General features: G+C 48.9%; 4 annotated features.

Moving 5' to 3' along the window:
- Positions 6371-6871: an enhancer, noted in NCBI's record as "H3K4me1 hESC enhancer chr1:113345268-113345768 (GRCh37/hg19 assembly coordinates)". NCBI's record gives its function as "activates a minimal SCP1, AML or CMV promoter by ChIP-STARR-seq in primed H9 embryonic stem cells {active_cell/tissue: H9 hESC(primed)}" and the evidence as "EXISTENCE:reporter gene assay evidence [ECO:0000049][PMID:30033119]".
- Positions 6872-7372: an enhancer, noted in NCBI's record as "H3K4me1 hESC enhancer chr1:113345769-113346269 (GRCh37/hg19 assembly coordinates)". NCBI's record gives its function as "activates a minimal SCP1, AML or CMV promoter by ChIP-STARR-seq in primed H9 embryonic stem cells {active_cell/tissue: H9 hESC(primed)}" and the evidence as "EXISTENCE:reporter gene assay evidence [ECO:0000049][PMID:30033119]".
- Positions 7849-7898: an enhancer, noted in NCBI's record as "active region_1519". NCBI's record gives its function as "activates an Ori minimal core promoter by ATAC-STARR-seq in GM12878 lymphoblastoid cells {active_cell/tissue: GM12878}" and the evidence as "EXISTENCE:reporter gene assay evidence [ECO:0000049][PMID:35858748]".
- Positions 8009-8158: a silencer, noted in NCBI's record as "silent region_1206". NCBI's record gives its function as "represses an Ori minimal core promoter by ATAC-STARR-seq in GM12878 lymphoblastoid cells {active_cell/tissue: GM12878}" and the evidence as "EXISTENCE:reporter gene assay evidence [ECO:0000049][PMID:35858748]".

Below are 11860 nucleotides of genomic sequence, written 5' to 3' on the forward strand. Positions count from 1 at the left end.
AGAAAGAAAATTTGCTAAGTTAACTATAAAACTTTGTTAATGCCCTATGAGACAATACAATGGTAACCTTTGTATCTATCTTTTCTATGGGGCAGAGGTGCTATCATTTGCACTTCTACTGGACAAAAAATTATTTACAACTTTTCCTCTTCAAATGAATTGCACGTGAAGGGAGATTGCTAAGTAGGTCCACTCAGCCCTGGGGGAGGAAGAAAGCCTGTCCTTTCCAGGCTGTGGGCTGCAGTAAGCATGGCAAGAGCAAAAGGACAGGGTGAGAAGGTGCAAAGCAGTGGGGAGCCTTAATATCCACGGCTCAAATATTAAAGAAAGGGGCACTTAATTAGAGAGAGCCTAGAATGAGTGAATGAAACATGAAATTTAGAATCAGAAACACCTGTATGCAAAGTAGAGTGTCTGCATTATCTCTTGCTTAACTTTTCAGACATGGTTTTCTCTTCTGTAAAATGAGTTATGTGAAGATTAAATTAGTTACTATAATGAACGTAAAGAGCCTGGCTCAGATTATGAAGTGAAAAATAGTAGTTGCTAATATTATTACAATTGTATAATATTTACATAGTTGACAGTGTAGATCCCTGAATTGGGAAAATATATGTAAAGAAAGTAGGCCGGGTGTGGTAGCTCACGCCTGTAATCCCAGCACTTTGGGAGGCTGAGGCAGGTGGATCACCTGAGGTCAGGAGTTCCAGGCCAGCCTGGCCAACATGGTGAAACCGCATCTCTACTAAAAATACAAAAATTAGCCAGGCCTGGTGGCAGGCACCTGTAATCCCAGCTACTTGGGAGGCTGAGGCAGGAGAATCACTTGAACCTGGGAGGCAGAGGTTGCAGTGAGCCAAGATCGCTCCGCTGCACTCCAGCCTGGGCAACAGAGTGAGACTCCGTCTCAAAAAAAGAAAAAAAAAAAAAAGAGAGAGAGAGAGAAAGAAAGAAAAGATAAGATTAGATTGATAGTTCTTGTGGGTCCATTCTCTGAAATTCCGAATGTTAGCCACAGAATGTTAGCCTAAAGCTCATTCCTCCAACCTTTTGACAATTTTATAAGAATCTAATTATCTGTATTACATTTCTTGCAGCTTAAAATAGCTAGAGTGGTTGGTTTCCTGCACTGACCCTGACTGACAAATGAGTTTGAGAGCACAGGCCAAAGGGAACAGTGTCAGAGACTCAACACGATAAATACATCATCCAGGAAGAGAAACTAGAGCTGCTCATTGCTGTGAGTTTCTCTCTTATATCAACAAAATTCTTCCCTCATCAGTTAAACCCATTTACTCTTTTACTCTCCTCTGTAGAAAACCAGAAGAGCAAGATGTTGGAGAATTAATATCTGCTAGAGAAATATGCATCTCAGCCTGGACTAATTGGTGCCTGGAACATGATGGTAGGTCTCCTACTCACAAATTGGATGGTGATGGAAAGGCCATCCTGATGAGCCTTCCAAAAGTTTTGTCAGAAGACAGAGTGATGTTGGATAACACTACTGAGCCACAACTTCCATCCACGCAAGACTTAATATATTTCCTGGGACAAAAGTACCTAGGAAACCAAAAGCCTTTCACCTTATCCCTTGAAGCTAATTTCCCTTTGGCTGACACTGTGCAGCAAAGTGTATTAATATCCATGATGGGTGATCAGCCTTCAATAAATAATGCTGGTTGTTCTAATGTACCTGGCATGAAATATTCAGAGCTATTAATGCATTTCAGTTTAAATAATCACCAGGGCTTTTGTCCAAATCAGTGGTGAGCTTAGGTTGTATTATCTTTTTTTGTACATATCAGATGTGGAGTGCAGGCTGAAAGTTCCAGGAAGAAGCATTAGGCCACTGACCCTGTGGAGAAGGTGGGGACTATGTGGTGCAGGAATATGTGATGGGGAGTGGCCCAACCCCTAGCTTGGGGTCCAGGATTCCTGGGTCCTGTCCCAAACTGAAGTATAGCCAGTGCCAAGAGACTCAAGGCTCATCTGGTCTTGGGAAGACAGATCATCAGGGCATTATGGGATATCTTTCCCAGTTTTTGATTGTAAGTATTTCAAATGCTTCCAGTCTTTTGAGGCTGTATAAGAAACCATGGGAGTGTGATCATATAGATTGGGAGTTGGACTCAAATTACCAAGCAGCAGGGCCTCCACGGGAGACTTTGAGCAGCTGGAGATGTAAGAAGGCTGAGCTCAGGCCTTCTGTCAGCAGACGGATGGTTGACATGGCTATAAATCATGTTGGAGGACTTGCAATCCGGATTGGCAGGTGGTAAGCATGGGAATTATCTGAAAGGTGAGCTGACAGGAGTGAATGAATCTGGGCCCAGTGGGGCAGGAGTGCTTCCCACCTCCATTTCCCTTCTTTTGTTAATTTTGAGAACAGTAAATCAGAAGAAAATAATGTTGGTGCCTGACCAACATGGAGAAACCCCGTCTCTACTAAAATTACAAAATTAGCTAGGCATGGTGGTGCATGCCTGTAATCCCAGCTACTCAGGAGGCTGAGGCAGGAGAATCACTTGAACCCGGGAGGCGGAGGTTGTGGTGAGCTGAGATCGTGCCATTGTACCACTCCAGCCTGGGCAACAAGAGCAAAACTCTGTCTCAAAAAAAAAAAAAAAAAAAAAAAAAAAGAATGTTGGTGTGGGGAGCTCTCTCCAGCCAGAATTGCCTGGGCTCTCCCATCACTTGAGTCCCCACATCTTCCCCAGATCTCTGAAGTGTCCCACCCTGTCCTACCTCAGATGGGGTTCATTAAGAAGGAAACCCAAGGGGATTTGAAAGGAAGGAAGGGCTGGGTGCTTTTGTTCCACTCAGACCTCCCTGTCTCCTTCCTTTGCCCAACCAGAGACCAATATAGGGACAGGAGGCTTCAGAGATGGAATTAGCTTTCTGAGCTCCACTCTCAGAATCCCAGCTGAAAGCTCAAATATTTTCTCTTCGTATTCTTAGTGAATGCGCCTCCCCTCACTCTTGCCCCTTCTCCCATGCTTCCATCAGCCTGGGTCACTCAAGTGCTTTCACCATGGGTTTCCTTCACTGCTGCTTCCCAGCAGCTCTTTTCTAATCTCACAGCTTATAGACTGGTCCACTTTCCCCAATATGGCGGCTCTGTCCAGCTGATGCCTGTTTCCCCTGATGTTTGCTATACTCAGCCACTTCTTAGCTCTCAGAAGCCAGGAAGTAAGTTTGGGAAAAAGCCCACCATTCAGACTGGCTTTAGGCCATATGCAGAGACCTTATATATGTACCAGTTATTCAGCTAGTATCTCTAAGCTTCAAACCCACTCTTCTCTACTGGGCCTTGTGAAGCTGGGGCAAGAAATTTGAAAACCACATTTCTGCTTTGCTAACTGGCACCCTGTTGGCTTCTGTCAATATAGGGTAACCAGGGAGATTGGAAGGCTAGAGGAGGAAGACAGGATGCCTTTTTCCTCTTTGCTTCCTGTTCCTATCAACGTTGTCCAGCCTTGCTTCTACACAGGGCAGAGTGTATTCTACACAGTCCATTCTAGTAGCAGTAGTTGGCTTCAATTTGTAATTGTCTCTCCACTGTTCAACTTCTATTTTTTTTTTTTTGAGACAGGGTCTCACTGCATCTCCCAGGCTGGAGTGCAGTGGTGCAGTCATGGCCACTGCAGCCTCAACCACCCTGACTCAAGTGATTCTCCCACCTCAGCCTCTTGAGTAGCTGGGACCACAGGTTTGTGCCACCATATGCAGCTAATATTTTTATTTTTTGAAGAGATGGTGTCTCACTATATTGCCCAGGCTGGTCTTGAACTCTGGGACTCAAGTGATCCTCCTGCCTCAGCCTCCAAAAATACTGGGGTTACGGGTGTGAACCACCATGACTGGCCTCAACATCTTTTTTTTGAGACACAGTTTTGCTCATGTTGCCCACGCTGGAGTGCAATGTCATGATCTCGGCTCACTGCAGCCTCTACCTCCCTGGTTTAAGTGATTCTCCTGCCTCAGTCTCCCAAGTAGGTGGGATTACAGACGTGTGCCACCAATTTCCCTGCCCCCATCCAGTCCATCAGCAAAGTCTAACTGACTTTCCACCATCTTCACTGCTTCTCCCCAGTCAAGCAACCCCTGGCTCAGAGTGAGTGGAGGGGAGAATCAGGAAAGCTCTTAATGCTTCCAGAATACTCAGTTACAGAATCTCAGAGTACGATGACTCCTGTTTCTAAATAAAAGGAAAGTTGGACTCTTTCCTTTTATTTAGAAACCAGATGTTTCTAAATAAAGGGATGAAACCAGACTGTGCAGGGGAGGGGCTGGTGGGGGCCCTCAAAGAAACAGGATGGAAGAGAACGAAAAACAAAAAGCTGTCCTTTTTGATGACTTATCTACCCCAGAGGGGCCACATGCTCCCCTATCATTATCTGTACCTGCCTGGGACTGCGTGTGGTGGTTAGAGCCCGTAACTACCCATAATGACTTCATGGGGCTCAGCCCAGGTAGGGGCCCAGACATTTCAAGCTAATGACTTTTCTTCCCTTTTTATTCTGTCTGTATTAGCTCCCTGCATGGATTGAAAGGTGCTTATTAACACAAGCGCCCCTGATAATTAGGTTGGTCCTGGCTTCATTAAACACTGATGGGCTTCCTGCTTTTGGGTCCAGACAAGAGAAGGAGCCAGAAGACAGGATTCTCCTCCCCATAGGTCTCCGGGGTGCAGATAGGGCAAGGTGGCACTTTCTTCTCATGTTCCTGGGTTGAGCTGAGTGAAAAGGGAGGCAAGAGATAGGAGTAAAAGCAACTGGAAGAGGCCTTTTCCCTATTTATCCCACCTACGGGCTAAACCTTGATGTTCTTATCTGCTCATTGGGCTTAGAACCAGAGACTATGAAAGCTAGAAGAGACCTCAGATATCAATCTTCACATTTTTATCATAAAAAAGAGGTGAGGGCCGGACATGGTGGCTCACACCTGTAATCCCAGCACTTTGGGAGGCTGAGGCAAGCAGATCACCTGAGGTCAGGAGTTCAAGACCAGCCTGACCAACATGGAGAAACCCTGTATCTACTAAAAATACAAAATTAGCTAGGCGTGGTGGCGGGCGCCTGTAATCCCAGCTACTAAGGAGGCTGAGGCAGGAGAATCACTTGAACCCAAGAGGCAGAGGTTGTGGTGAGCCGAGATTGAGCCATTGCACTCCAGCCTGGGCAATGGGAGCGAAACTCTGTCTAAAAAAAAAAAAAAAAAAAAAAGAAGTGAGAAGTCTATGCAGGTCCAGAGAGGGAACAGAACTTGCTCGAGATCACACACCTTAGCTGTGCCAAAACCATGCTCAAAACCCAGGTCTTTTGGCTACTCCAGGCTCAGCGATCCTTGACGTATCTCACAGGACTGTCCCAGGGATCAGGAGGTGGAAGAGAGGAAAGTGGTGTGAAAGTAAGGACCCCACGCAGTGGGAGGACTTCCTGTCTGGGCTGTGCTGCTCATGAGGTCCTGGGCTGCAGGCCTGGGGGGTCAGCCTCCAGAGTCTCCTTACCTGCCCTGCTTGCCTCATAGGGCCCTGGGGAGGAGGGGGCTTGTGAAAGTGCCTTGAGAAGCAAAACCTGTCAAGCTATTCTACCGGCCGGCTGTGTGCTCACTCCTGCCTCTGTCTCCCCAAATCCCCACTTGTGCCCTTTCTCCCAGGAGCCTGAGGATGCTGCTGAGCCCAGCCAGTTACACAAGCCTCGGTCAGCATCATCAACAGCCACTTCTCCATTTGCTTTCTGAATTATTTAGCCCTCCTCTTCCCAGCCCACCCCAGACCTTTTACCACATTAAACCTTCAAATAGGCCTGAACCTTGGCTTGGGAAACAACATTTCCTTACTGTCCCTGCCATAACGTTTTGGAGAGGGCACATCTCCCTATAGATTGGTTTTCCTCTTCACCATGCCTGGTGGTAATTGACAGTGCCTGGGTCCTAATGAGGGAACAGGCCCAGCCAGGGTGAGGCAGAGGGCCCTGCCCTCTCCTAGTCCCTGGTTTGAGGTCCTGGCTATGGGTTCTCCCATCTATTCTTGCTGAGCACTTGCCAAATATTTAATGTCCTTCATCCAGCAAGCCAATGGCAGCTCTGGGGCTGGAAGGCTCCCGAGGTCATTTTGTCCCTTCCTCTGCTTTCAGGCTGGTGCACATCTCATCCAGGGTTGACAGATGGCGGCCTCTTCCCTGGGGCTGAGGCTTTCCTGCCCTCGCCCCTAGCTCCGGCCCACATAAGACCTGGAGAGACTTTTGTGTGGACTACCTGGAAGGCTCTGGTTGTTGTAGATGCCCCAGAGGAACAGCCCAGGGAGGGGCGGGGGGGGGCTCTTATGGGGTAGGGATGGAGGTGTCAGGGGAGGAAAAGTCTTTGGGTGCCACGACAAGCGGATGAAGCGTTCTGCTGTGTGGGGCTCAGGAGAGTCCACCTGAGACTAAGGAAGTCCTGCTGGCTTCTTTTTTTTTTGAAACAGAGTCTTGCTTTGTCACCCAGGCTGGAGTGCAGTGGCACCATCTCAGCTCACTGCAACCTCTGCCTCCGGGTTCAAGCAATTCTCATGCCTCAGCCTCCCAAGTAGCTGGGATTATAGGTGCTCACCACTGAGCCTGGCTAATTTTTTGTATTTTTAGTAGAGATGGGGTTTCACCATGTTGGCCAGGCTCATCTCTAACTCCTGACCTCAGGTGATCCGCCCGCTTTGGCCTCCCAAAGTGCTGGGATTACAGGTGTGAGCCACGGTGCCCTGCCCCTGCCTGCTTCTTTGTGTCTCATTTGTACTCATTTGTCTGTCTGTGGGTCCTATAGCCTGAACCAGCCCACAGTCCTGCCCTCCTCTCCACTCCCTGCCTGTCCTGTGGGCCCTGCTTGGAGAAAGCTACAACCTGGCTCCATGGAGCCCCCAGAAGGGAGCACTCCTTCCCCCTCCTGGTGCCCACTCGTCTGGATCTTCTGGGCGTCTCCCAGCCCTTCTGGCCCCTCACAATCTGGGTTTCCTGCCTGCAGTTCGCTAGTGCTCTCTCTCTCTAAATGGCAATGGCCAACCTCAGCTGGTGTCACAGAGCATGTCTAATGTGGCTGGTGCCCACCTGGGCTTGCCCTTCCTTTCCCATCCTCAGAGCTGGAAGTGACCCTATGGAGTTGGCAGACACCCCCATCCCCTTTCACTCTCACCACCCTCAGCCTATATGTTCTTCCATGAATCTGACTCGAATCTCTTCTGACAATTTTTTTTTTTTTGAGACAGAGTTTCGCTCTTGTCCCCCAAGCTGGAGGGCAGTGGCGCAATGTCAGCTCACTGCAACCTCTGCTCCTGGGTTCAAGCAATTCTCCTGCCTCAGCCTCCCGAGTAGCTGGGACTACAGGCACGTGCCACCATGCCCAGCTAATTTTTGTATTTTTAGTACAGGTGGAGTTTCATCATATCGGCCAGGATGGTCTCAAACTCCTGACATCAAGTGATCCGCCTACCTCAGCCTCCCAAAGTGCTAGGATTACAGGCATGAGCCACCACGTCTGGCTGACAAAGTTTAAATCTGCACCCTTCTGGGTGCAGAAGCCCTTCCCAGGACACCTCCTCTGTCTGGTGAACTTGGACTCTCCTTCAAACTTTAGTGCAGAGGCCACTCTCTCAGAACCCCCCACATCCCCTAGCCTCTCAGAGCAGAACAGGATGGCCTGTCCAACACCCCCTCTCCCCCACCCTGCATCCTATCCTGTCCTTTGAAATACTTCCCAGGTATGTGAATTTACATGTGTTTCTGACTCCCTAGTTGGTCTGTTATCTCCAGGCAGGGCAGGAAAGTGTCTTCAGTGCTCATGGCCTTATCTCCTGTACCTGCTCTGGAGTCCAGTAGTCGTAACAAGTAGTAGGAGCTCAGTAAATATTTGTTGAATGAACAAATAATTCTCTGAGCCCTGGAGGAAGGGTGGGCAGTGTCTCCAATGGACTGTGACAGTTACCTTAGTAAAAATCTGGGGCTGGGGTCCAGAAACCTTGTGTGGCCCCTCTGCATTCCTGTAGTCACAAGGTTGGGTGCTTAGTGAGCCTGGCTGGCCAGGCAGGGCAGGTGCCTGGCGTGATGGGACAGTGCCATCTAGCTGCGGCTAGGCCAGAGCAACAACAGGGCCCGCGAGTTGGCTTGGTCAAAGCGATGTCATACAGGGAGTCCCTGGGCACTGCTAATTCCTTAGCAAGCAAGCAGCTAAGGGGTTGACACAACCTCAGCTTAATTGGTCTCCAACTTGAGGCCTAGGCTGCTATAAGGGGAGCCCAGGGTCAGGCTGGAGATGCCTTTGAAGGAGCCCCCGGTGGATACCAAACTTATCAAAAGCACCTGGAAATGACCCTGCATGTGACCAGGCTACTTACAGAGGCGGTGTCCAGGTCACTGGGTATTGTCCTACTGTATGCTTGATGGCCCCATCATACAGGGGGCAGTACGGAACTCTGAATGCGGAACAAATGCATGTCCCCAGGACTGTTGAGGGTGCTGGGAGCCAGGCCCCTGTTCACTTCCTCACTCTGGACCTCATCTGTCCAGGGGGCAGAGACAGGGTCTACAGCATCCTGTCTTCCTCACAGCCTGGCATGGGCCTGGCAGACACATAGACCCTTGCTCTGTGGCTCTGCCTGGCAGAAGCCGACCGGTGTGAGAAGAGCCTTCTAGCAGTTGGAGCTGTGTAGGCACCAAAAGGGCTGTTCTGTGAGAGGATGAGTCCTTGTCACTGTCAGTGCTCAGATCAAGGCAGCCTTAGCTGGGTCAAATGCTAAGCTGGGAGTGCTCTATTGGACTGGATTACATGCCTTCTGATAGTCCCTTAACTTGACGATTGTATAAAATGTAAACTGCTCAATGCATATCCCTCCCATAGCACTTTAACACTGTTCACTGTAAATCTGTGCCACAAGCTAGGATCCTCAAGAAGCAAACTCTGAGACGGAGATAAGTGTTCAGGACATTTGTTAGGGAGTTCTCTTGGGATGATCCCTTGTGGAAGAGAGGGGCAACAGCAGTGAGATTGGACAGAGGGAGAAGTTGAGCTGCACTGCAGTCTGAACAACAGTCCCAGCTGACCCTGCAGGGAGCTTGGGAGCTGGAATGACCTTCAGAGTTGTCTCAAACTGGGGAGAGCAGGCTGGGTGTTCATAGTATATATTGATCTGTCATTGGGTGCAGGCTGGCCTGGGCAGGTGGTGTGATCTAGGGCAGTCCTGGAAGGGGCTGGCTGTGCTCCCTGAGGGTGGGGAATGTGTCCTGCATTTCTGGAGGGGGTCCGCACACAGCAGCATCTGCCACTCTTCCGGTGCTGACATTTTAAGCAGCAGTGAGCAGTAAGGAAGGTCATTTGGGGCAGTGAACCCTGTCCTGTGTTTCTCAATCCCTGCCCTTGAACAGCTCCCTAAGGGGCAATGACCAGAGTCCTAGTGGGGGTGCTCTGGCCCCTCCACATTCATTTTCTCTGCCTATTCTGAGAGGAGGTTCAGGCTGGAGGTCTGGTGGGGAGGTGGTGAGCACAGGAGGTGCACAAAGGGACAAAAGGCTCTTGCCTTAAATGCCCACAATTAGAACCAGCTCCTTTCTATTCCCACCATGCAAGGGCCCTAATTAAAATTTAAACTCATGTTTCCTTTTTTTCTTTTTAAAGTTTCCATGGTAGGTAATTAACTTTTCCTTTCTGCGAGTGAGCAACTAATTAATGCTCTGTTCATAAGGACGGCGATCAGAGCACTGCGACTTGCCTGGGAGTTTGTTTCTTTCATTTATTTCCACCTTCCAAAAGAACTGGCTTGGTGAAAGTGGGGGCAGAGAAAGGAAAGAAGCTCTGCCAACATCTGTTGTGTGCAGCAGGGTGCTGACAAAGTCCTTACAACATGAAATCCTTACCATGAGGAGGGCATACAGGGTCTTCCCTGGACCAACAGAAGCAGCCGGGTGCAAAAGTGTTCCTGTCTAAGTGAGCCTTCCTCAGGAGGGGCCAGCTGAATACTTCCCTGGGGAACAAAAGCACCTGTGGCTGAACTGCACTGGCATCATGGGTGTGAGGGCCCTCCCACTGCCAGCCTCTGTGCCTTCCTCTCCCAGGCCCCTGGGTTCACCTCCTGGCCACACAAGCCTCAGGGAGAGGATACGGATTAACAGTGTTTGTACAAATTGCAGGGACAAGGGAACATTTCCCCTTCGTCCTTTGAAGTTTTGCTGAAAATCACTGACAAGAGGCAGATTAGTGAGAGAAAAAGTAGACAAACAGATTTAATGTGTACATGGCAGACTTCAGAATAAAGACCCAAAAGATACAGAGGAAATTGTCCATTTTTATGCTGAGGTTCAACAAAGTATGGACAGCTATGTAGAAATGTGACTGGACAGGCTGGGCACGGTGGCTCACACCTGTAATCCCAGCACTTTGGGAGGCCAGGTTGGTGGATCACCTGAGGTCGGGAGTTCAAGACTGGGCCTGACCAACATGGAGAAACCCCGTCTCTACTAAAAATACAAAATTAGCTGGGCATGGTGGCACATGCCTGCAATCCCAGCTACTCCAGAGGCTGAGGCAGGAGAATCCCTTGAACCCGGGAGGCGGAGGTGGCAGTGAGCCGAGATTGCGCCATTGCACTCCAGCCTGGGAAACAAGAGCTAAACTCCATCTCAAAAAAAAAAAAAAAAAAAAAAAAGCCAGGCATGGTAGCTCATTCCTGTAAGCCCAGCACTTTGGGAGGCCAAGGCAGGCGGATCACCTGAGGTCAGGAGTTCGAGACCAGCCTGACCAACATGGAGAAACCCCATCTCTACTGAAAATACAACATTAGCCGGGTGTGGTGGTACATGCCTGTAATCCCAGCTACTCAGGAGGCTGAGACAGGAGACTTGCTTGAACCCAGGAGGCGGAGGTTGCAGTGAGCCGAGACTGCACTATTGCACTCCAGCCTGGGCAATGAGTGAAACTCTGTCTCAGGAAAAAAAAAAAAAAAAAGTATGATTGGACAAAAAGAGTACGATCTAACGCTAACAGACTGAGTGGGGAATCCCAGCAGGGCCGGTCTGTCTAGATTCTTCTTGGCCTCTCAGAGCACGCATTCCTGCATTCCTTCCTTCTGAATGTGGGGCAGGACCCTCTCTGGAATGGGGGTCTTATAACCCATAGTCAAACAAGGCAGGTCAGGTAATTTCTTTATGACCAGTTTTTACACAGAAAGGCAGAGGCAAAGTTAGATTAATGATTTTTGGTTTTATGGCTGGCTTTGGGGAAAAGGTGCTGGTTTCAATGACTTGGTGGGGAAGAGGGATTCTATGGCTAGCCTTGGGGAGAAAAGGATTGAGAGACAAGAGAATGGATAAATAAAGAATGCTGAGGTCACCCAGAAAGAAGAAAGGCAAGAAGCAGCTACCAGAGTTGGGGAATAAGAGGGAAGCATTTTATAGAAGCTTGGAGAGTGAATGAGGGTGCCCTGAGCAAGTGGGGCTCAGACCCCTGACTCATGGAGCCAATCAATTCTATAAAGATCCAAATGCAAAACTAACAACAAATGTTGTTTCGACATATGTACCGATGTGGCAAAATTTTTAAAAAGCAAGGGAACGATAAACACAAATTTAAATGGCAATTACCTCTTCCACAGGGAGGCAGAGGGGTGGAGGAAAAGGCACATATAGGACGATGCAAGTTATATGATTTCTAGTTCTCGTGAGTGATGGGCTCATGGGTGTTGATCGTATTTTGTTTTATAAGTAACATTTAAAAATATGTTTTGTGGTATCTCCTTTCTGAAAAGGACCCCAATGTTTCCTCCCTCCTAGAATTCATATTCCCTCTCACATCGTACCAGGGTTGGCCTGTGTCAGCAATAGAATATGGCAGAGGTGATAGT

The sequence above is a fragment of the Homo sapiens genome, chromosome 1 (genome assembly GCF_000001405.40).
Source record: "Homo sapiens chromosome 1, GRCh38.p14 Primary Assembly".
Classification (NCBI taxonomy): domain Eukaryota; kingdom Metazoa; phylum Chordata; class Mammalia; order Primates; family Hominidae; genus Homo; species Homo sapiens.